Source organism: Homo sapiens, chromosome 7 (assembly GCF_000001405.40).
Source record: "Homo sapiens chromosome 7, GRCh38.p14 Primary Assembly".
NCBI classification, from domain to species: Eukaryota; Metazoa; Chordata; class Mammalia; order Primates; family Hominidae; genus Homo; species Homo sapiens.
The window spans coordinates 78108121-78134189 of NC_000007.14; the positions used below are offsets into that span (position 1 = coordinate 78108121).

The 26069-nt window shown below is 40.1% G+C and overlaps 1 protein-coding gene across 15 annotated transcripts in view; it reads right to left on the reverse strand.

The window, feature by feature from the left end:
- MAGI2 (membrane associated guanylate kinase, WW and PDZ domain containing 2) overlaps positions 1 to 26069 on the reverse strand; it is a 1436613-nt gene that overhangs the window by 91066 nt on the left and 1319478 nt on the right. For all 15 annotated transcript variants that reach the window (XM_047421093.1, XM_017012845.3, NM_001301128.2 and 12 more), the window contains 3 exons: positions 24769 to 24940; positions 19077 to 19296; positions 17574 to 17717 (listed from right to left, as the gene is read on the reverse strand). In XM_047421093.1, the coding sequence (XP_047277049.1) occupies positions 17574 to 17717; positions 19077 to 19296; positions 24769 to 24940 (536 nt within the window). The remainder of the gene's footprint in view (positions 1 to 17573; positions 17718 to 19076; positions 19297 to 24768; positions 24941 to 26069) is intronic.

The following is a 26069-nucleotide window of genomic DNA, read 5'->3' on the forward strand; positions in this document are numbered from 1 at the left end:
TTTCCTCTTAATATTGTTTTTGCTGTATCTCATAGGTTTTAGAATACTGTGTTTCCATTTTTATTGTTTCAAGAAATTTTTTAATTTTCTTATTAATTTTTGTATTTACCCACTGGTCATTCAGGAGCATATTGTTTAATTTCCATGCATTTGTATTGTTTCCAAAGTCCCTCTTGTTACTGACTTCCAGTTTTATTCTACTGTGGTGTGAGAAGATACTTGATACAATTTCAATTTGTTTGAATTTTTTAAGACTTGTTTTGTGGCCTAACATATGGTCTATTCTTGAAAATGATCCATGTGCTGAAGAGAAGGATGTGTGTTCTGCAGCTGTCAGATGAAGTCTTCTGTAAATATCTGTTAAGTCCATTTGGTCTATAGTACAGATTAAGTTCAGTGTTTCTTTTTTGATTTTCTGTCTGGATGATCTGTCCATTGCTGAAAGCAGGGTGTTGAGATTTCCACCTGCTGTTATATTGGGGTCGGTCTCTCTCTCTCTCATTCTCTCTCTCTCTCTCTGTATGTGTGTGTGTGTGTGTGTGTGTGTGTATACACACATATATGTGAGTGTATACACACACATATGTGAGTGTATATATGTGTGTGTATACACACACATATGTGAGTGTATATACGTGAGTGTGTGTATATATGTGTTTGTGTGTATATACACAATATATACTCAAAAGGATAATAACAGAGAACTTCCCAAACCTAGAGGAAGATATCAATATATCTATATCTATATATATCAATATATGTAACATGATATATTATCAATATATACATCGTGTGTGTCCTGGAAACAGCAATGGTTGGTATAAATTGGAGGAATAGAGTAGCATACAAGGATGGAAAATGGCATGGGACTAGGCTGTAGAAGGCCTTTTAAAGAAAATCCGGGCTGGGCGCGGTGGCTCATGCCTGTAATCCCAGCACTTTGGGAGGCCGAGGCGGGCGGATCACGAGGTCAGGAGATTGAGACCATCCTGGCTAACACAGCGAAACCCCATCTCTACTAAAAATACAAAATATTAGCTGGGCGTGGTGGCGGGCGCCTGTAGTCCCAGCTACTCGGGAGGCTGAGGCAGGAGAATGGCGCGAACCCAGGAGGCGGAGCTTGCAGTGAGCCGACATCGAGCCACTGCAGTCCAGCCTGGGCGACAGAGCAAGACTCCGTCTCAAAAAAAAAAAAAAAAAAAAAAAAAAAAAAAGAAAAAAGAAAAAAAAAAGAAAATCCTGTGGCTCACGCCTGTAATCCCAGCACTTTGGGAGGCCAAGGTGGGTGCATCACGAGGTCAGAAGATCGAGACCATCCTGGCTAAAATGGTGAAACCCTGTCTCTACTAAAAATACACAAAATTAGCTGGGCGTGGTGGCACGTGCCTGTAGTCCCAACTACTTGGGAGGCTGAGGCAGGAGAATCAGTTGAACCCGGGAGGTGGAGGTTGCAGTGAGCTGAGATGGCGACACTGCACTCCAGCCTGGGAGACATAGCAAGACTCCGTCTCAAAACAAAACAAAACAAAAAAACTTGTGAACCTAGTTAGATCTTATCCTGCAAGCAAAGGCAGGCTGTTGAAGACTTTTGAGGAAACAAGTGATTTAATTACACCTGTGATTTAGAAATACAATTTTGGTAGTTGTAGGAAGCATGAATAGGAGAAATTTGAGGCTAGTGGGACCCATCTAGCTACTGGAACAGTTCAGGATAGCAAAGACAAGGGTCTGTATTGTGGCAGTGGCAATGGAATGAAATGAAAGAATGCATAATTTGAGACCTGACTTATATTTCCTAAATGTATGTGCCCATTTCCAGAAAGACACAGACTGAAGCAAGGTGTACTGGCTTATTTCAGGCCAGCCCCTGCTCAGGCCTGAGCACGCCCCCTAGTTAAGTAGTTAATTGTGAGCACTGACTCGGGAGCTTGCCCCCAATTCCCTGTTCTCCAATTCCTAATTCCCTGATAGAAGTACATTTTCCAGTTTTCCTGGCTGTTCCCTTTCTAAAGCAAGGGAGGCAGTATTTGAAAACAACCTCTTTCCAATATTCATTAATTTGTCTTTTTGCTTACTTACATCTGCCCTTAACTTCCCTTTCTGGGCTTTCATTCTTCTCCCAAGGTCTCATACACAAGCACAGTCATGCTACTAGGTTGAGGAGTCTTTTTCTTCCACAAGAGACTAATTCAGCTGATACCATCCTAAAGACCAGGGGTATATGCATCCTTCAGGCAGATAATTACACAAAGACATGGGACACTAAGATGGCATTAAGATGGCATAACAACAACTCGTGACTGGTCTGAGATGAAAAATGAATGCGCTGAACATCCAATAGGCAGTTGGAAATTCAGGCTAGGCATTTATGAGGAATGTCAGTCCCTACCTCTTCCCCGCACCATGCTTGACCAAATAATGAGACATAAGCCTGCCTTGGGAATTGTGCTGTTTTATTACGGGACCCAGCAGGGGTGATCCCCATATGGAGAAGTACTTAATTCTCCCTTTGTATGGGCTCTACTTGTATTTATTAAAAAAGAAATATTTTGTCAAGTTGAACCATGCAGGAGTCAGATCTTTTCAACCTGGAGAAGGAAGCAGCAATGTTCCACAGGCAGGAGCAATGCCATCTCTGAGTTCAACACAGCCAGAGCTAGGAAGCAGCCACAAAGAAAGAAGGGGACAGGGTCTGACAATGGTGACTGCCAATCAGGAGAACACTTCTGGGCACCCCAAAGAAGAAACGTGAATGGCCTGAGATTCACATTTAAGAATACAGTACCCAGCTCTCCATAGCTTCTGAGTCGCTCTGCCATGCAAACCAAATCCTGTGTGAATCATGATCAAGGTGCATTTCATATCCATTTTCTGATGAAAATGGAAAGTAGAAGGTAACTGGGCAAACTGAGTGACTCCCCTGCTCATCTGCCAGAAGCTTTAGGTCTGGGGGAGAGATGGAATGACAAAGAATCTCAAGCAGAGAGCAAATTTGCGTAAACACTGCTTTGTAAAAATGAAGAGGGAAGAAATTGTAATTTATTCTCAGGCAAAGACAGAAAAATTACGGTTAAGCTTAAAAGAGAAAATGATACAACCCTTCTCCTCACTGAAGAGGCAAGTAAAGTGTATTTTTTCAGATCACAGCAGTGGTTTGTAAACTTTCTCGTTCTTTTCCATAGGCACCGGCCCCCACCATGAATAATTAAAATCAAAGACTCTCCTCACACTTCTAATGTATTCAATTCCTTTCTATGTCTTTCCATGCCAAGATGCAATCTCAGCCCTTTGATTCCTTACCAAACCTTTAACTAGCCCTCATGGGAAGATGCTTTTGAAATGGTTCAAAGTTGGGCATCTACTAGAAGAAGAAACAGAGCAAAGAAATGGAGTCCTCCTCATGTGAGGTAATGAGCCCCTGAATAATTGACAATGGAGCTCCCCATGGCTCTCTTCTCTAATCAACACCACGCTCTCCCTCATTGCTGCAAGCAGCTCGTGTAACTCATTTAACACAGTGCTCATAGGTCAGACTCTGAAAAGAAAAAGGTAATGGATTTGATCTCTGTGAGAGGCTTTTCTTTTCCTTCGTAAAAGGCATGGAGCAGGGCCAGACAATAAAGGGAAAAGAACTCATATTTGCAGACAATCTGAAGGATGATTAAGAGTGATGGCTGAGAGACAACCAGGCATCTGGACGAAATGGTCTTTGGGATGGCTTGTAAAGAGGCACGCTGTATGCAGAGAAGAGCTTTCAGGGTTGGCTGAATTTCAGCACCCAGACGTGATAAAACATTGGGTGGACGATCTTTGCAATGCAGGGCCCTCGAAATGATCTACCTGAGCCCATACAATTGCTTTATTTCTCTAGACAGGCTGCTTTATTTCCCTCTTATGTACTTGTTATCTCTCTTCTCTCATGCTTTTGATTTCATCAACTTCCTTAGGTCATTTGTCTGCATTGACCTGGAGGGGCTTAGCTCTGTGGGGTTGGTATATTCTGCTAAGCTCTGGCTTTCACATCATTCAGATTGCACTGCTTTCCTGTGTACCTTTTCTACTAGCCTCCAGCACACCTGTTTTGTAACTTTTATTCTGTCATGTTTTGCATACCCAGTGCTTTTGAAGTTCTTTATTATTTACTGTTTGACCTTATTTTACTTTATTTCCATTCTTTCCTTGTCATCCACGTTTGGTGAGAGATAGTTTACATATAAGGGAAACAAGTCTTGGAATGTCACCTAGTTTAAGATTAAAGGCATTTCTTAATGCTAGGCACAATAGGGTTTTGCATATACAACCTCACTGATTCTGCAAAATCTTAGTTAGGCATATCTGAACAGGGACGATGTATTTACAGTGAGGCACGTTATAAAAAAAGCTGACTGCGAGTTAGACTGAATTGCCACATATATTCATATAGTCAGTTACCTGCGCAATCCCATGTCCTGGTTCATCAGGTATCTTTGTGGCCATGGACTTGAAAAGCACAGCTAGTGAATGTGCAGAGTTGGAAAACACAACTGCAGTGTTCTGTACTTTGACAGCTTCTGTTCACGTATGCATTCAGCAGTCAATATTTACTGAGTGCCCCAGGTACACAGCCCTGGGCCCTGGGGTATAGTGGGCAGCCCAGAGCAACATGATTCCTGCTCTTGCAGAGCTTATGCTCTGGAAAGACAGACTTCATAAAGTGATCAGACACAAATATGTAAAATTATCACTGCGACAAATGCTATGAAGAAGATGTGCCTGTTTCTGGGACAGCCAATGACAGGTGGATGAGACCCAACTGGAAAGCACGGGGAAGTCTTCTCTGAGGAAGTGATGCTTGAAGTGGGATGTGAAGGATGAGGAGGACTTACCCAGGGGAACGGGTGGGGGAAGAGCCTTTTGGGAAGAGGGAGCAACATGTGCAAAAGCCCCATGGGCAGGAAGAAGCATGGGGAGAGAGACTGGTTGGTGGGATAACAGAGCAAGGGATGGAGGAGCTGTGTGAGATGAGCTGGGAGGGGGACTGGGGATAGAACACGCAGGGAGGGGGACTGGGGATAGAACACGCAGGGCCTGGCAGCCTTGTGATGAGGGTCTGATCTTTAATCTGAAAGACCATGGGGTGCCATGGAAGGGTTTTAAACAGTAAGCAGATAGATCAGATGAGTGTTTTGAAAAGGAACCATCTTATCTAGCAGGCTGAGGGGAGGAAAATACAAGTTGATTTGTATTTGAAAGCTTTTGTAGCCTCTTGACATACATACTTACTTAAAAGATGCTCTCCGTACCTCTGTGCTGAGTAGTGAGTACAGTCGTGCACCACATAATGATGTTTTGATCAACAGTGGACTGCATATGTGATGGTAGTCCCATAATATTTTAATATGATATTTTTACTCTACCCTTTCTATGTTTAGATATGTTAAGATATACAAATACTACTGTGTTAAAATTGCCTACAGTATTCAGTACAATAACATGCTGTCCAGGTTTGTAGCCTAGGAGCTATAGGTTGGTGGGTAGGAGCTGTAACCTGGTGTGTAGGAGGCTATAGTATCTAGGTTTTTGTAAGTGTACTTCTTTGATAGTTGCATGACAAAATCACTTAATAATGCATTTCTCAGAATGTATCCCTGTCATCAAGAGATGCATGCCTGTATTTTAATAAATAACAGTACAGGCCTTGGGGAGAACAAGAGAGTAGAAGAATAGAAGAAATTTCAGAAATATTGAACTAGGCACTTTACCCTTCCTGGAAATATTATTCCCATTGATTAGATCAGTAAAATTGACTCTCTGTGAAATTACTTTCAGGATATGAGGACAAGCTATCATTCCACTAATTGCTAGAGTTGACTCAACTGATCCTGCTGCTCAGGAGGACCTGGTATTTGATCAAAGCTATAGAGCAGCTGTGAGCCCCTGACAGGGTAACTTGTTCAGGTCAGAGCTAGACAGCCAGTGAGTTGTTGAGCCAGTATTTGAATATGTCTGTCAGGCTCCTGCTCTTTTTACTAGCTCGTTATTTCCTTACAAGGGAGGAAAACAAATGGACAAGAAAGTCACTATGACAGGTAAGAATTTTCCTCTAAGCAAGTCTTCAGGGCAAGGAAGAAATAGAGTGAGCTTAAGAGAGCTGATCAGTGAAAGTATCTTAGGTGATTGAAATAAATGAAGTAGATGTAAATCATGCACCAATGACTGGAGTCCTCAAACAGATAAACTCACCAATGGGTATATAACACTGTTTTACCCAACTTTTTCCCACTGGGAAATTCTGTGCCCACGTGACAGTCTTTGTTAAGGGAATCAGCCTCAATGCTTTGTTTCTCTGAACTCAGGGGCATATTATTTCCAGACTGTATGCCATGCCATTCAATCCCAGTGGCAGGATATGAGCAAGCTATGAAGAAGCTCCTCCCCAGTCCAGGCAAAGCCTCCAGCCAGGCAGGCCTGCACATTTATGGCCCAGACAAGCCACCTGGGTCCTGAGGAAGATAAAATGGGATTCTGCAGTGCTGAGGTGACAGTGTGTGGCAGGGTGGAGGGGACCATGCTTCTCTGTGCCCGGGACCCAGGAGTGCATGAGGGAGCCCTAGGGATCACAGTACCAGCCCCTTGACTGTGGAGTGTGTTCTCAGGCAGGACTGTGTGGCAGTGGCAAGAACTCATTAGTGACTTTGTGGACATGGGACTCACACAAGTGGGGACTGGAGCTGGAGAGGAAGATAAGGACGTATGCTACAGAATGAATGCGGCGGGCACACGGGAGGCACCCTCTGGGGTTCCTCTGTGGACACACTGTGAGAGGGGGCAACTGCCAGCTCTAAAGCTGGAAGTGGTTGCAGCTACTGTAACTTGGTCGTTAAAGGTAAATGTTACTAACTGCTGTTTATGGCAATATGGTGGATTAGATTCCCTAACCTTACCATTGCTGAATAGGGAAGAAAGTAAAGAATCATCTGATGCCAAAAGCAAAGTGAGAATAAGACTCCTGGAAGGTAAACAAGTACAAAAGGCAGCTTGTAGCCAGAAAATAACTGCTGATTCCTGGGAACCTTGAGTTTCCATTTTGATGACTAGGCAATAATGATAGAAAATCAGCTTAGGGGCTACAAATGGAAAGTCTAATAGGAGATCCTTGCATGAACCGGAACCCCAAAGAACAATTCAAAAGAGAGTTGAAAAAATAAAAAGGGTAAGATAGAATAAGTGAAACTAATAGGAAAAGAACAAAAATGATAGAATTAAATACAAGTATAAGTAAATAAAATTAATGTAAATTGACTGAAATGACCATGGTGAAATATATTGTTAAAATATAAAAAATCCAGGTTAATAGGCCAGAGAAACACATACAGTATAAAGACACAGAACGGTTAAAAGCAAAAGGATAAAAGAGACATACCAAAGAAAACTAGCATGCTTATAATAATATCAGACCAACTTTAAAGCAAAAAGCATTGACAGAGATACAGTAGGTCACTACATAATGAGAAGGATTGATTCACCTGGAAAATAAAAGAAATAACCTGAGTACCAAAAAACATGTCCTCAAAGCATACAAAGTAAAAGTTGATAGCTCTTCAGGCTGGGTGTGTTGGCTGATGCCTGTAATCCCAGCACTTTGGGAGGCTGAGGCAGGAGGATTGCTTGAGCTTAGGAGTTTAAGACCAGCCTGGGCAACATTGTGAGGCCCCATTTCCATCAAAAAAAGTCAACTGCTTTTCAAAGAAAAATTTGCAAAACCATTAGCAAAGATTTTTAAGAACCTACCCCAGTATTTAATAGATCAAATAGATAAAAATTAGTAAGACTATAAAATAGCTGAATAGTTCAATAACCAAACCTTATCCAATGAACAAATCTATACAACACAGCACTCAACAATTGCAGAATGCACATTCTTTCCAAGCACACATGGATCATATATAAAAAATGCAACATGTTAGGCCAAGTTTGTAGCAAGTTGCAACAAAATTGAAAGACTGAAATCTTGTGGAGTATTTTCTCTGAAGACAAATTAAGAGTAGAAAACTAACTAGAAAATCCCCATACAGTCAGAAATAAAAAAACAAAAACACCTTCTAAATAATTCATGAGTCAAAGAAGAAATCACAGTGGAAATTAGAATGTATTTGGAACTTAATGAACATACTACATATTAAATCTACAGCCTTAAATTTGTATTTTAATAGAAATGAAGAAAGCCTAAGAACTACTACTCTAAGCATCCAACTTAGGAAAAAAAAAAAAGAAGAACAACAGAGTAAACCCAGAAAGAATGGATGGAATGAAATATTAAGTATAAAAACAGAAATGAATAAGCAAGAAGACAAATATGTAAGCTGACTCTCTGAAAAGAATAAAAGAAAATTGAACAATCTTTGGCATGATTAATAAAGAAAAATGGAATACCAGAACAGTAGTCAAATGAAACAGACACAAATACAAATACCCCAAACATTAAAAATAGCAGGCAGGTGAGGTGTGATGTCTCCCATCTGTAATCCTAGCACTTTGGGAGGCTGAAGCAGTAGTATTGCTTGAGCCCAGAAGTTTGAGACCAGCCTAGGCAACGTGGTGAGAGCCATCTCTACATGAAAGAAACAAATCAGCCAGGTGTGGTGGTGCACACCTGTGGTCCTTGCTACTTGGGAGGCTGAGGTGGGAGGATTACTTGAGCTCAGGAGGTTGATGCTGCAGTGAGCCATGTTTGTACCACTGCACTCCAGCCTGAGTGACAAAGAAAGATCCTGTCTCAAAAATGAAATAAGATAAAAATAAAAATGATATAAAAAGTTTGAAAACTAAGATGAAATAGGTAAATTATTAGGAAGAAAAGCAGTTTATCAGAATAGACTTAAAAAGCAATAGAAAATCTGAAGATAATTATTTAGAAACATAATTAGTGAACTAAAACTTTCACATGAAGAAAACATACTAGATCTGGATGAGTTTGCAGGTGTCTTCCACCAAACATTCAAGGATAATTCAAAACATACATAAACTTTCCCAGACAACAACTGTAAACAACAGCAACAAAAAGGATTATTCTATTTCTCATTTTATAAGGTTAGGGTAACATTAATATCAAAATCTTTCCAAGATACTACAAGAAAATTATAGGCCAATCTTACTCAATAACATAGATATAAAAATCTTAAAGGAAATAACAGAAAATTGAATTGATCAATGCATAAAAATGATACATCATGAATAAATAGGGCTCATCCCAGGAACTCAAGAGTAATTGAACCATAAAAATCCTTTAATATGATTAATCATATTAATTACCATATAAAAGAAAAAGATCAGATGGTATTGTCTATGGATGCAGAAAAAGTAGACAAAATTCAACATCTACTCATAATAAACTCTCCTAGCAAACTAGTAATAGAAGAAAACATCTTTAATCTGTTGAAGGTTATCTATAAAAACCTATTAAACATCATGTTTAATGAAATTTTAAAAAGCATTCTCTTTAAGATTAGAAATAAACAAAAGTGCCTGCTTTGACCACTTCTATTCAGCATCATACAGTAAGCCAAGCCAATGAAATTTAAAAAAAAGAAATAAAAGGACTTAAAGGGAAAAAAACCTCAAAACTCTAATTAGAGAAAATGTGATTTTTATGCAGAAAATCCAGAGGTAGGTACAGATAAATTATTTGAAGTAATAAGAGAGTTCAGTGAATTTTGCCTGATATAATTGATCAATATACAAAATTCAGTTGCCTTTCTCTTCACTGGTTAACAGTTAATTTTAAAATGACATTAAAAATACTATAGCCAGGAGAAGAATAAAGTTGGAAGACTGACACTACTTACCTTCAAGACTTACTATAAAGCCACAGTAATCAGGACAGTGTGGTATTGGTGAAAGAATAGACGAATAGATCAATGGAACAGAATAGACAGAAATAGACCTGCATAAATATAGTCAACTAATCTTTGACAAAGGAGCAAAGGCAATGCAATGAAGAAAAAATAGTTATCTCAACAAATGGTACTGGAACAACTGGACATCCACATGCAAAAAAAATGAGTCGAGACACAGACCAAAACACCTTTCACAAAAATTAACTCAAAATGGATCCCGATCTAAATGTAAAATGCAAAACTATGAAACTCCTATAAGATAACATAGCAGAAAATCTATAAGACCTTGGATTTGGCAATGACTTTTTAGATATGACACAAAAGGCATAATCTATGAAAGAAATAATTAGGAAGCTGGATTTCATTAAAATTAAAAATTTCTGCTCTGCAAAAGACACTGTCAAGAGAATAAAAGGACAAGCCACAGACTGGGAGAAAATATTTATGAAAGATGTATCTGATAAAGGACTGTTATCCAAAATGTACAAAGAACTCTTAAAACTCAACAATAAAAAGAAAAATAACCTGATAAAAAGTGGGCCAAACACCTTAACAGATACCTCACCAAAGAAGATATACATATGGCAGATTAGCATATGAAAAGATGCTCCACATCATATGCCATCGAGGAAATGTAAATTAAAACAACAATGAGATACCACTGCATGCCTATCAGAATGGCCCAAATCCATAACAATGACGGAACCAAATGCTGATGAGGATATGGAGAAACAGAAACTCTCAATCGTCACTGGTGGGAATGTAAAATGGTATAGCCAATTTGGAAGACTGCTGGTTGTTTCTTACAAAACTCAACATACTTGTATCATATGATCCAGCAATTGCATTCCTTGGTTTTTACTCAAAGAACTTGGAAACTTATGTCCACACAAAAATCTGCACACAAATATTGATAGCAGCTCTATTCATAATTGCCAAAATCAGTAGTGCATCCAGACAATGGAATATTATTCAGCACTAAAAGAAATGAACTGTTAAGCCATTAAAAGACATGGAGGAAAGTTAAATGCATACTACTAAGTGAAAGAAGTCCATCTGAAAAGGCTACTACATACTGTATGATTCCAACTATATGACATGGTGGAAAAGGCAAAACTCTGCAGTCAGTAAAAAGATCAGTGGTTGCCAGGGGTTAGTGGGGAGGGAGGAATGAATAGTGGAACACGGAGAATTTTTAGAGCAGTAAAAATACTCTTTATGATACTATAATGTGGATACATGCCATTATACATTTGTCCAAACCCATAGAATGTACGACACCGGCCGGGGGCAGTGGCTCACGCCTGTAAATCCCAGCACTTTGGGAGACTGAGGCAGGCAGATCATGAGGTCAGGGGATAGAGACCATCCTGGCTAACACGGTGAAACCCCGTCTCTACTAAAAGTACAAAAAAATTAGCCGGGCATGGTGGTTAGTGCCTGCAGTCCCAGCCACTTGGGAGGCTGAGGCAGGAGAATTGCTTGAACCTGGGAGGCGGAGGTTGCAGTGAGCCAAGATTGTGCCCCTGCACTCCTGCCTGGGTGACAGAGTGAGACTCCTCAAAAAAAAAAAAAAAAAAAAAAAAAAGAATGTACAACACCAAGACTGAACCATACTGTAAACTATGGACTCTGGGTGATAATGATGTATCAATACTTATTTGTCCATTGTAACAAATATACCAGTCTGGTGGGAAATGTTGATAGAGAGGAGGCTGTGCATGTGTGGGGCAGGGAGTATAAGGAAAATCTCTGCACCTTCTTCTCAATTTTGCTGTGACCCTAAAACCGCTCTTAAAAAAATGAAGAAAAGAAGACTGGGTTAAAAATAGTAAAAGCATATATTCACTCAACACATGTATTTGTGTAAAGATTTAAAAATACTGTATTCAAGAGTAAAAATAAAACACAAAAAGTACCTGAGAATCAGTCTAAGATATTTGCAGGTATGTTATGGAAAAAGCTATAAAACTTTAAGCACTTTATGGAAAATCTACATAAATGGATTACATCATGTTCATGGAAAGACTCGATATTATAAAGATGTAAATTTTTCCATATTTATACATGGATTTCAAGCAATTCCAATAAAATTCTAACAGGATTTTTTAGAAACTTGACAAGTGGCCGGGCACAGTGGCTCATGCCTGTAATCCCAGCACTTTGGAAGGCCGAGGTGGGCGGATCACGAGGTCAGGAGATTGAGACCATCCTGGCTAACACGGTGAAACCCCGTCTCTACTAAAAATACAAAAAAATTAGCCGGGCGTGGTGGCAGGTGCCTGTAGTCCCAGCTACTCAGGAGGCTGAGGCAGGAAAATGGTGTGAACCCAGGAGGCGGAGCTTGCAGTGAGCCGAGATTGTGCCACTGCACTCCAGCCCAGGCGACAGAGCAAGGCCCTGTCTCAAAACAAAAACAAAAACACTTGACAAGAAAATTCTAAAATTATATGGAAGGGCAAAAGCCCAAGAACATCCCAACACCACTGAAGAATTAAGATGTGTGTCTGGGGGAGAGAAAGTTTCCCCATACAAAACTCAACACTCATTAAAAGGTAGCTAAGTATGGCATTGATGCAGGGATAGACAAATAGACTAGTAGAACAGTATAAAGAATCCATATACAGACCACTGCATTTATAGAAATTTAATTTATTATAGAGCTGTCATTGCAGATTGGTGGGGGGTGGGACAAAGAAATACTCATTAAATAATGATGCTGTGGACCGGGCGCGGTGGCTCACGCCTGGAATCCCAGCACTTTGGGAGGCCGAGGCGGGCGGATCACGAGGTCAGGAGATCGAGACCATCCCGGCTAAAACGGTGAAACCCCGTCTCTACTAAAAATACAAAAAATTAGCCGGGCGTAGTGGCGGGCGCCTGTAGTCCCAGCTACTTGGGAGGCTGAGGCAGGAGAATGGCGTGAACCCGGGAGGCGGAGCTTGCAGTGAGCCGAGATCCCGCCACTGCACTCCAGCCTGGGCGACAGAGCGAGACTCCGTCTCAAAAAAAAAAAAAAAAAAAAATAATGATGCTGTGACATGTGGTTATCCATATGGAAAAATTGAGATTGAGGTTCTACCTTATATCATACAGAGAAATCAACTGTAGGTGATTAAATACTTAGATATAAAAAGTAAAACTATACAACTTTTAGAAGAAGATATAAGAGAAGACGTTTAAGACCATGTCTTGGAGAATGATTTCTCAAACAAGACACAGAAAGCAGAAACTATAAAAAAAAAAAAAAGGGTTAAGCCAATTACGCTAAAATTAAGACTTTCTCATTATCAAAGAGCATCATAAAGAAAGTGAAACTGCAAGCCATAAGCTGGCATAAGATATCTGTATCACATTAATTGATGAAAAAGATCACCAATAATATATAAGCATTTCTATAATCAACATGAAGAAATATTCAACAGAAAATGAGGAAAGACATGTACAGGCATTTTTTAGTTAAGAGAGAACATGAACGTCTAATAAATATAAGAAAAAATGATGAATATGAATTTGTAATCAAGAAATGCAAATCCAAATCTAAAATATATAATTTTCTACCTACCAGAATGAGAGTTTAAAAGTCTGACGTACAAATCTTGTGAGTGTGTGTAGTAAGAAAAACTTTTTTACATATGCTAATACAAGTATAACTTTGTAAAACCACCTTGGACAATACTTTTGTGTTACTTAGGTAAGTTAAATTTGTGCCCTCCAAGGCATCTAGTCTAGTCTAGAGAAAGTCTTGCATAGGTACAGCAGGAAAGATGTACAAAGATTGTATGAGTTACAACAAACTTGGAAACAACCAAAGTGTAAATTGACAGGGAAAATCTCAAATGTCCATAAAATGGAAAAATAGATAATTATTATAGGTTGTAGCATATTCACATAATGAAATAACTTATAGCAGTGAAAAATAAATGGACTATAGCTTCATGCACCAACCTTGGATGAATCTCATGAACATAACATATAGAAAGCAAACCACAGAGAAGAACATGTACAGTATGGTTCAGTTACATAAAGTTCACAAAGTGCACCAAGCTAAAGGTTATAGTTGAGAGATACACACATCTGTGGTAACAACAGAAGAAATGTCAAGTGCTTTATTTAGGAAGGTGGTTCCCTCTGAGGGCTGGAGAGTAGGAGGAGAATGAAATCATGGGAGCTTGGTAATGTTCTGTTTTTTAAGTGGGGCTATGGGTTCATGGGTCCTTGAATCATGGTTAGTATTTACACTTATTACATATGTTAGAAATATTCTTGTAAATCGTTTTATGTTTAATAAAAACAATATATAAACCAAGATGCTTTTGTATTGACTAGTTATATCTGGTCTATAGAAGGAAAGGTGACAAATTTAGAAGAAGCTAATTTCAGGGAATGTTGCTTTTCCTTTAAAAAAAAGATGGGCAAATGATATTTTTTTGTGCATTGATTGGTTGAACAAAATGTTTTAGTCATTCCAAAGCCCATTGCAGGCAGACTTTTGCATCATGTGAGTTTCAGAAAGTAGGTAAACCATCTTATAAATAAGCTTATGTGATGCTAAATAGGCATACACAAATGGTACCCAGCTGCAAGTGATGAAGTTATGAAATAATGTTCTTTTTCATCATAAAAATACATTTTATGGAAATGCGAACTATATTACACTTTTATGGAAACAGGAAAATATTTTACCATTTTAAGAGCAAACGATCTCCTTTCAGATTTCTCTTTTAACTTGACTCTCAGATTTTTATTTAAGCACTTAGAATTTCTATTCTTTCCCTCCAAATGTCTCCTGATTTCTTACATTCCCTGTTTTACTGAGCTTTGCCAATATTATTTTTTATGTTCATTATTTTTTGCCTGTGTTTTCTATTTAGTTTTGGCTTTTAATTAGGTTATATTCCTAGGAGCTTTGTATCAGAGATTTTATTCACTAGCTATGAAAATTTCATCCCTCCCAATTTTATTAGGCCATTTTACAAACGTAAGTCTTCTTTTTATAAACAGCTCCAGTAATATTTTCTAATAATTTATTATCCTTTTCCTTAAAATCTGAATGTCCATTGTGTTTCTCTTATGACACCAGCCTTCTTGACTGACTGAAGAAAAGCAAGCAGACGTGACAATGATATATCTCTTTTTATTATTCCCCTTATTTTCTGCATTCACAGATTGTGTTTTGTTTTATCTATTCAACTTTTAATACATCAGTATTAACTGATGTTGAAAAACCATCTAGTATAATAATTAAAGTCAAAACTTGCTACTCTCCACTGGTTTTTTGATAAAGTGAATATAGTAGCTCCCTCTCATACCTCTTGCATATATTCCAACATCTCCAGCGGATGCCTGAAATCACAGGCAGAACTAACCCTATATACACTGTTTTCCCTATATATATCTATGATAAAGTTTAATTTACAAATTAGACACAGCAAGGGATCAAAAACAATAAAAAAAGAACAATTATAACAAAATGCCAGCATCACTACTCTTGCACTTTGGGGCCATTACTAAGTAAAACAACGGTTACTTGAACACGGGCAGTGCGATACCATGATAGTCAATCTGATAATCGAGAGGGCTGCTGAGTAACCAGTGGGCAGGTAGCATCTACAGTGTGGATAAAGGGCTGTTTCACCTTCTGGGAAGGACAAAATTTCAGCACGATACTCACAACGCTGCACAATTTAAAATTTATAATTGTTTATTTCTGAAAAATTTTATGTAATATTTTTGGATTGCAGTTGACACAGGTATCTATAATAAAACCTCGGAAGGTAAAACCTCAGAGTTTCACCTGAAGAGCTTCCTAAAACATAGCCTGGTGACCCCACTCCTAGAGTTTCTGATTCAGCAGTTTTGGGTGGGGCTAGAGAATCTACATTTCTACCAAGTTTCCAGGTGATGCTGATGCCAGGAACCGTGCTGAGAACCATTGCTCTGGCTTAAATTCTGTAAGAAAGAGGAATCTTTTCCTGCAAGGGTATTTCTCTATTTAGGCTTCTTTGCCTTGGGAGTACTGTGTATATCCAGCAGCGAGTCATTTAGATCCCTTGTGAAAATACATGGCCACTGTTTGTAACCGACAGAGACCAGCCCTGTAGTCCACCGTGGGTCTCTATCTCTCACAGGGCTCTGGCCATTTTGCACATGGTCTTCCTACTGTGTTTCACCTGCACTGGAAAGATTAATTTTGTTTTACTTAACTGCTTGTGAGCTGGCCTTATAGCAGGTTAAGAAAGTGTCCTTCTGGCTTATAGGGAAGCTGTAGAGCCAGGAAACCATGTGGAGGCCCATCTTCAAATCAGGGCTAGACGGGGTAAGAGGAGGCTGGTGCTAGATCACGGGGAGGGCTGCCAGTCTCTGGTGTCAGCCCTGCCTGGGTTTAAATTCCAACTTGGATGCTTCCCAGCTGTCAAAGGATTGTGGTAGTGGGGAGAAACAAAGACATGATGTGCATGCCTTCTGCTTTTGGACTGTGGATAATCCTCTGACTTGGAAATGCGTATCATAGAAATGCAGACTTGGTGGTAGAAATAACAGATTCAGCCATCAGGGAAAATTGGTTGGTGAGGCTCTGCACAAGAACCTGAGGTTCCGGAACCCCAAAGCCACAGCTTTTCTTTATTAACTTAAAGAGGCAGGAGGGAGGGCAAGAATAAATTCTAGATTTTATTCATACACCGACACACACACACACACAAACACACAGAGAGAGTAAAGAGACTAATATTTTATATTGTTAACAAGCTTTGTTTTATACCCTTAAATGAAGAATCAGTTACCCATCAATCAGATGCCTCAAAGTAATTATTAAATGAAAAAATCTACTCTTAACTTTAATTGGAAAATTTCTAGCTGCTGTCTTTTTTTTTTTTTTTTCTTGAGACAGATTCTCACTCTGTTGCCCAGGCTGGAGTGCAGTGGCACGATCTTGGCTCACTGCAACCTCCGCCTCCCTGGGCTCAAGCGATTCTCCTGCCTCAGCCTCCTGAGTAGCTAGGACTACAGGCGCCCGCCACCACGCCTGGCTAATTTTTTTGTATTTTTAGTAGAGATGGGGTTTCACAGTGTTAGCCAGGTTGTTCTCCATCTCTTGACCTTGTGATCCTCCCGCCTCAGCCTCCCAAAGTGCTAGGATTACCGGTGTGAGCCACCACGCCCGGCCCCTGCTGTCATTTTTAAGAACAACCTGTATCCAAGAAGCCAAATCCCTTTTACTCCTAATGCTTCTGTCTGCCCAGTATCAAACCAAAAGACCAGTCAACACAAAGGAAAAATTTCCTAAAAGTCCCGCAAAACCATGTGATTAATCAATATGGGGGAAAAAGCACAAAACTAAAAATAAATTTCAAAAGATTCAACCTTAATCAAAACAGAATCATCAAACCATAGAAAGAATTATGGAGAAATAATGTTTCCTTTTCAAGCTATTTCTTAGATTTCTTTCATTTGCTCTTTAGAAAAATAGTACTTTACTGAGGTTAATCAATTAGAAGGTCATAAGCAGAAAAATGAGAATGAGAGATATTATAAAATAGCAAGTGGCCAGACTTTTAAGAAACTGGGTCATCATCAACTAGAAAGAGGGCAAACCTACAGCAACCCCGCTTGACAGCATGCTTCAGTACTCTTCCAATACCACAGTCGGTTTTTCTTTCAGAATTAAGCAATTCTATAAAAAGAGACTGTTCTTACCCTCATCCTCCCATTCCTTATTGCTGGTCCATCTTCTGCCAGTCTCAACACATACAAATCCATTTTGTATTCCCTTCCTCCACGAATGCTGAATCCAAATCCTTTGGCTCCTTTCTCCATGTCCACAGTGAAATAATCAAAATCCTTTGGGGTTGGGGAGAAAATGGAATAAATAATTATTTAGTTATCAGAGAAGCTTCTGTGGCTAGTCTCTGTGTTCTCCTTCTGTCTCTTAGTTAATGTATTCCAAATGACATGATGTTGGGAGAAGTCGTAATCTGGCTTCATAAACTACCCAAATGAAAGACAAAATTCCAAAGGTTTGAGCAGGCCAGAGCACAGTTTACTTGGTCATCAAAGAATTACTGTGTAGCTTGTTTACTTTGGTATTCATCAGTTTACTTGGCAAACGTGGAATGATTACAGATAGGCCTGAGTGACATCATCTCTCCTTTTACTTCTCTCATTCACTGCTATTGAGCACCATAAATAAATGTCAGGTGTGTGTGTGTGTGTGTGTGTGTGTGTGTACAAATTACAGAGTTTGCTGATTAGAAAAGTAAAATTTAGTGGGATCTGATAATTAGATCTCTCAGTTGCACAGACTATTGAATATCAAGTTGGAATGTACAAAATCAATTTCTCTTTTACCTAAAATGCAGTATGTCCAAGATTCTCTGATCTTCACTATTCTTAAAATCTTTGGGCATAAAGTTGATCTTCAATTCATAATAAAACACAATGTAATCTGATAGAGTTGAGATTGTACTTAATTTATATCTTGGTATGTAGTTACGAAGTAGGAAATATTTTCTAGATACCAAACTCTGGTCTAGACTCTTTTCATAAATGTTGAATCCTCATCCTGGCCTGTAAGGAAGACTCTCCCTTTAGGAAACTGAATCTCAGAGAAGTTAAGGAAGTTGACATGAAGCACATCAACAAATAATCATAACAACAGTGACACTGGTTGTGTAGACAGAGAGTTGTTGGCTGTGGCAGGCGCTACACTCTGGATTGTGAAGCCAAGCCTGGTCTTATTCTTACGCACAGGGGCTTGGCCCTTTATCACAGAGTGGCAGGTAGGGGGCCACGTAAAAAAATATGGACCTAAAATACCTCCACTGCTAGCATCTATAAAATTTTCTGCATTAGCAGCACTCTCAGAGGTCCCAGGTTAGAGCATTTTTAAAACTTTGACAAGGAAACGTACAAGGAGTTAGCTAGTATTAGCAGGGATTAGTTTATTCCATTACTACTCATCCGCTATTTATTTATGTATTTATCCATATTTATTTATTGTCCTGCTTTATTCTGAAATAGATTTATTTATCCAGCATGTTTCTGAGGATGCAGGTGTTACCCCGATGTTACCAGAACTAGGAATAGAACTTCAGCTCTCCATCCCAGACAGGTACTCTTTCCTCTGCCTCTCCTATTTCATTCCTTGCAGTTCTCTGGAAGCCTTGGTCAGGACCCACCCTGCTCTCCGGGAGGAGGTACCTGGGGTTGTCTGTAGTCCGACAGAGGGTACTGCCTGGTGTCGGGGGAGTGCTGCCTGTAGTCCAGTAGGGGAGGCTGCCTGTAGTCCAAGGGTGGGGGCTGCTGGTAGTCCCCTCCTGGGGGTTGCCTGTAATCCAGCGGGGGCTGCCTGTAGTCTGTGAATGGAGGCTGTCGGATGTCTGGTTTCACATCTTGCCTTGCTTTCACTTCCGACCTGTAACTAAATCAATGGAAATGGGATTTGCTTTTGTAACTCTGCATTCTAAAGAGGCTAGAGTGATCACACGGCCTCCAGAGGTGGGCCAGCCATGACAGCTCACACAAACCACTCCTCTCGGTGGTCCTGTTGGATGCTCAGGATTATGAGAAGGTTAAATATTATTTAAAAATCTCTGACAAATGCCATATTGTATGCTTTTTATTTGGCTCCTTACGAAGTCAAGGTAAAAATGATGGTTCAACCAGAACCTTGTGAAAAAGCACTCATGGATGTTCCTCTTTGACTTTGGCTATTTAAAAACTGTACAGCCACAGCAAATCAAGGGATTGAAGCACTGAACTATACAAACCAAGACATCAGCCTATCTTAAGACTGGTAAACCAACCTTCCTCTCTCACTCTTACTTTTTTCTCTCACACACACCCCTTGGCAGATCATTCATTACTTCATAAAAACATGATTGAAGTGATCTCTAAATACATTACAAATACACAATCAAAGGCTATTTTAACCTGCTGAGTTGGGTCTTTTTGAATATTTTACAGAGGTTAAAGGAGTGATGGTAAAATATAATCACCAACTACAAACCAAGTGGCAAGTCATTGGACCATTGGTAAAATTGGAAACATATTACACAGAGGTAATACTAGATCATAGCTATCAAGATTAGCATCAAATACTACTGTGGTCATAAGATGGAAGAGAAGGCAAAAATGTTTATGTCCAACATTTATCTCTTGCTTGCTTCTAGATATTAGTTACTAATGAAATAAACACAGAGATGAGAGCTAGGAGTGTAGCATTGTTTTGTGAATCCAAACTGCTTTAAGCTGAGGGGGTTACTAGTTTCAAAAGAAATAGCCAATCCCTACCATTATGGGATCATTAATAAGGTGAACTGAAAAATTGTCACCATGGTATGGAGGCCATTTAATTCTGTTGTTCATTGCCTATTGCCATGGTAACAGTCTATAATGGGCTACCCAGGGATGTAGGTAGATTGAAAAAATACATTCTACATAGTAACAATTTTATCTAAAATTAATTGGAGGGTATGAGGAATTGAGAAAATATTTAGCAGCAAGAAAAAGCTCAAATGTGTCAGGAAAACTAGTGCAAACCAGTAGAATTCTTACCTTTAAAAGAGTCTGGATTTTTTTTTTTTTTTAAACTGGCTTACGGTCTTACTGATGCTGATTAGTATTAAGTATTTTTAAAAATCACTTGCCTGAACAATTGCCATTAGTGCAATCTAATATTTGGCAAGGTCACACTGAAAGTGCATGGCAATAGATGTATTTACTTGGGGCTCCTTAGAAGGGGGTTAGTAATGTAGTTATTTTAATCAACCCTTTGAGTAGGTCCCATTTATTACTTAACCCTGCAGAGGAGAGGCATTCCTTTTATGAGGTGCATAATTTCGGCCTTGCTTTATACCTCAATTGTCCACTCGCCTACTGAGAGCATGCATGCTGAGAATAGAATTATTTAAAATATACTTTGAATAAGATGCTTAACTATGCAAATGCATGCATTAAACAAAAGGAATTAAACTGGGTGACATTTGTCAGTGTGTGTTGGTTCCTTTCTGGAAATAGCTTGTTTGGTGGTTTGGATGTCACACTGTTTTAAGTTATAGCATAGTCACTTTATTTCCATGATCTGTATGGTATTGATATGCAATATCCATTGTGTGCTCAATTTCCAACCAAATGTGACATGAGGTATGGCCAAAGAGGGTGAAATGTAAGAATTTCCCCCAAAGTAATACAAACGAGTAAAAATAGGAGCAGATGAAACTTTCAAAACTCTCATCCAGGCCATCAGGCACTTAAACTATATTCTACCCAGTGTCGTGTGTCAGGATTTTAAGTTGAACTACACATTGAAGAATTCTTTAATAAGGGAAACATACTAAATTTTTTATGAGTGTTGCTAACTTTTAAGTGAATAATATACCAGCTAGGGCAAAAAATTATGTTGCTTTGAATGTGTGAAACACTTTAAGGAAAACTCAGGATTATTTTAAAAAGCTGGCTCTCTAAAGTTCTTTTACTTCTGAAAGAAGATCATCAAAACCCTTCATAGCTATTAATTCAATTGCTAAAGAGATTTTAGAAATGATAAAACCAGACTGCTAATGGTAAGTTCTAGCAGGTTTTTTGTGGTATGAAAAAGTTCCAGAACAAAGAAATGCTGCCAATGGTGAGAATGCACATCTCGTGGGCCCTTCAAGAATCACTTCCGGCCAGATGCCGTGGCTCACGCCTGTAATCCCAGCACTTTGGGAGGCTGAGGCGGGTGGATCACCTGAGGTCGGGAGTTCGAGACTAACATGGAGAAACCCCGTCTCTACTAAAAATACAAAATTAGCCGGGCGTGGTGGCACATGCCTGTAATCCCAGCTACTAAGGAGGCTGAGGCAGGAGAATCGCTTGAACCTGGGAAGCAGAGGTTGCGGTGAGCCGAGATTGCACCGTTGCACTCCAGCCTGGGCAACAAGAGGGAAACTCCGCCTCAAAAAAAAAAAAAAAAAAAAAAAAAGAATCACTTCCAGTCCTGAGCATCTAGAGTTCAAAGTCTGTGAAAGAAGTCAATTTCCAATGCTCTTTCACTGACCTTGCCATTTTAAACTGCAAATATCAATTGCCCTTGCTAGAGAAGGTGAACTCTGCTATTTATACTTAGTTTTGAAATATATTCCATAACAGCTCTTCTGTTGTTTTCAACAAATGCTTCTCCTTGAATAGTGTTTTTGCTTATCTTCACATTAAACATACTTTATGCTTCCTGAGCACACACCCAAAAGATGTTAAAGGACTGAGAAATGGGGAGAAGTGTATGGGTGTCATGGGAAGCCAATCCAAGAGTAAATACAGCAGGAAAAAATATCACTCATTCTAACTCACAACACAGACATTTGCAAGCAGATTGTCATTTTATTTTATCCCGCTCTAACATGGGAACGGGCTGAATCTGACATGTAGGTGGGCACTTCTTACACAAATGAAGAAATAGGAAATTCATACCGTGCACTGGCATATAAACTGTCTTAGAGACATCTCCAGCCTGATCTAAAAAAATGGCAAAGAGTTTTCCCTCTGATACCATGGCCATCTTTAAATGCAATTGGGAAAAATGTTTCTGGTACCTGTAAGATTACTGAATCTCTTCATTCATATGCAAATGTGCCACCACCAACAATCACAGAGTTCAGCCAGGAAACCCGAGTGGCAGTAAAGGGCCCTAGAGTTGGAGTGGGCACTTCCTGGGCTGTTAATATAGTAATGGAAGCAAAATATCTTAGAGGCAATGTAGTAGTAGAAGAAGCAAAATACCTTAGAACTCTGGGCAAATATGTTGGTGACTTATAAACATTTGGATTAGGTCAATCTGAATCCCAGAGTTAGGAATATTTCATTCTGCAGTCAGGATGTCCAAAGACCACTGCTTCTGTGATAGGGAACAAGGTATCCCAGTTGTGAGCTGGCAGCAGATGGGACATGACAGTGGCTGTATCCAGCTGTTGTTCTCCCCTCAGAGCTATAGCACACCAGGGATGAGCTCACCCACTCAAGGCTGGGAGCAAGAGCCATGTCCAGGGAAATCTGACTCTGGAAAGGAGAATGGAATGTGGCTGCGAGATTAATCGACAGTGGCAAGAAGAGTCTGAAGCTGGCTCGGGGACTGCTGGGGTGCTCAAGTCCTTCCTCTTGAGTCTAAGATGAATTCTGGGGAAAGCCAGTGCAATCTGTTGAAGTGATAGATGTTGAGAGCAAACCCATCTGGGGCTCATTACTGAGACACTCAGGACCTACCCTTCTTAGGGATTGTCAAATTCTCACCTCTGCATCATTTGCTTTATGGGGCTTTTCTCTTCCTTGCGTATATTTAAAAACATAAGCAGCTGAGGACAATCAGACATTTACTTTTCTATGAAAGCAAATGGGAAATCAGTAGAATAAGGCTTTGTAGAAATACCACCTGTGGCACAGGGAACACAGTTTACTTTGCAACAATGTGAATGATGAACCCAGAGAGTTCTGGGAATCAAAAACAGAGTCTCACTTCATCTTCGCCATCATGGGAGGAGAGGGATGGGAAGCAGATGTTCAGAAAACATTAGAATCATTAAAAAGGCCAGTGAGGGGTTTATATGCAGAGGTGTTTCTGTGAGTTGTTCTGTTTTTGTTTGTTTGTTTCCCACGGAAAGCGAGAAAGCATCATGGGAACATGTCTTCATCTTTCTCTTTAATGGCTGAACCCAACCCAGGCTCCCTGTTATATACAAGTCACAATAAGAAGACAATGTTGTTCTTATGACAGTCTTTTTCTGGAAGTTCAAAGTGTCTTATTCATTAGTCTATGATGCCTATCTCTAATGCTATGTGTGGAATAGAAGAACCTCATTAGATTGTGGGTAGGAGGATGTAAGGTTGTTATAATCAGTAAAAATGCTAATTTATTTTATTTTTGAGACAGAGTCTCACTCTGTCATCCAGGCTGGAGTGTAATGGGAACGTTCTCAGCTCACTGCAACCTCCGCCTCCTGGGCTCAAGTGATTATCCTGCCTCACCCTCCCAAGTAGCTGGGACTACAGGCGTGTACCACCACAACCGGCTAACTTTTGTGTTTTTTGTAGAGGTGGGGTTTCACCACGTTGCTCAGGCTGGTCTTGAACTCCTGGGCTCAAGCAATCCTCACACCTCGGTTTCCCAAAGTGCTGGGATTATAGGCGTGAGCCACCACACTGGCTGCTAATATTTACTAATGCCTACAAATCCTTCAACATTCTCCCTACCTCCACATCATCATCATTCTCTGAGCCATGACTTTTGTGGTTCAATGGACGTCTGCAGCCACCTCCTAACTGCTTAACCTGCATTCACCCTGCCAGCCTCCTGTCTGCGCTCTGCAGGGCAGACCGAGAGGCCTTCTTATAAAGCAAATCCAATGATAGCAGTCCTCAGCTGAAGACCCTTCAATGACTTCCCGCTGCACTTAAAGATCAAAACATTAAGTAAGCATGCTTACAAGGCCCTTTAGGGTGGGCCCCAGCCACCCTCACTGGCTTCATCTCACATCATACTCTTCTCCTTCTGCCACCCCATATATTGGCCGCATTTCCATCGTGCATACTGCAGGCTTGCGCCTGCCAGGGGGCCTCTGAGTAAGTTCTTCACTCTGGACTCTCTTTAACATGCTCTTCAGCTGTTAAGCCCTACTCATCTGCAACTGCTCACCATTTCTGCAGGAAAGCATCTCTCTTTGTGAAGGACAGACACTCAGCTATCTTTACTAATAAAACCATATCTATAACACACACAACCTCGAAATCACACAAAGGTATGCACGGCGATTTCTACTTTATAAAAGTCTCTCTCTCTGCCTGTCCTGTGCTGTCCCCAAATACTCCCTCCTTTCCCCACCCTATCACCTCTCAGAATCACAAAAGTCAGAGGAAATTTTACCTATTTTCGTGTCCTTGCAGCTGAAGTGGTTGAGGTGGTGCTGGCTGGGCGATGGGGCTGTTGGGGGTGGCTGGGCTTGGCTGGGCCAGGGGACTCTGCTGTGCCAGGGGACTCTGCTGCGCCATGGGACTCTGCTTCTCTGAGCTGGGTGCCGAGGTGGGGCTGTTGAGCTCTGCGATGGAGAACCAAAGCGGCAGATGCAGTCAGGTTAGTGTTGATAAGGGGAAAGAAGTGACTAGAGGCAGTGACTTTGCCTCTGCTGATGGCTCAGGCTTTGGTTATTTCCGTTTCTGCTAGGTTTTTAGATAGCAGGTTAATCTTATCAAGTTCTAATACCATTTCTGATATTTGTATTCTTTCATTAATGATCACTGCAGAACAAGGCTATGAACAGTATCTTGTCATTCTGCCAGAAGAAAAGATTACCAAAAAACCTCATAAAACTATGAAAAAAATTATTCAAAGGACTAAGCTCTAAAACATACTCTATTTTTGCAGCATCGCTTGCTGAGAGAAAATGGATCCGCCACCAGTTTTTGCTTGTAATAAACAGCCTGAAGAGTCTTCCAAAGTGTGGATAAGGAATGAACCATAAAAAGAAAAATGTTTTTTACAATCTTTTCCTCATCCCTTGTCAGTCTTATTGCCTCATAGCCCACTGGACTCCACACTTTTCCAGAAAGAAGAAAGAACCCTGGACACAGGAAGAGTCACAAAACTATTCTATTAAATAATTGCTTCTGGAATTCTTTGCTAATAACATCAAATTTTCAACTGAAATTGACTCTATATATTGGAATAAGGGCCCAACAGACACATTCCAGACTCAGAAAACTGAGAAGCGTTTAGATTTTCAGCGAGCAATCTTGTTTGCAGTTAATTTCCATTGAATAGCTTATACATGTTGGTGTCTGGAGATAGTAGGTTATAAAGCAGCATGGCCATTTTCTTTTCTCTCTCTCTTTTTTTGATTGGGTAAGAAAAGGGAGGTGATCTATTAGCATTCCCCTATGAACTCTTCTTCCCCCCCCTTTTTTCCCCACAGTCCAAATCTTTTAATTCCTTCTCCATTTATATCAGGGTTTCCCAGACTCAGCACTGTTGGCATTTTGGGTGGGGTAATTCTTTCCTGTGGACGGCTGTCCTGTGCATTTTAGGATAGTTGGCAGCATCCCTGGCCTCCACCCCCTAGATGCCAGCAGCATGCCCACCTCAATCAAGACAGTCAAAAATGCCTCCAGACTTTACCAAATGTCCCTTGGGGGGACAAAACCACCCCCGTTGAGAACTACTGTTTTATA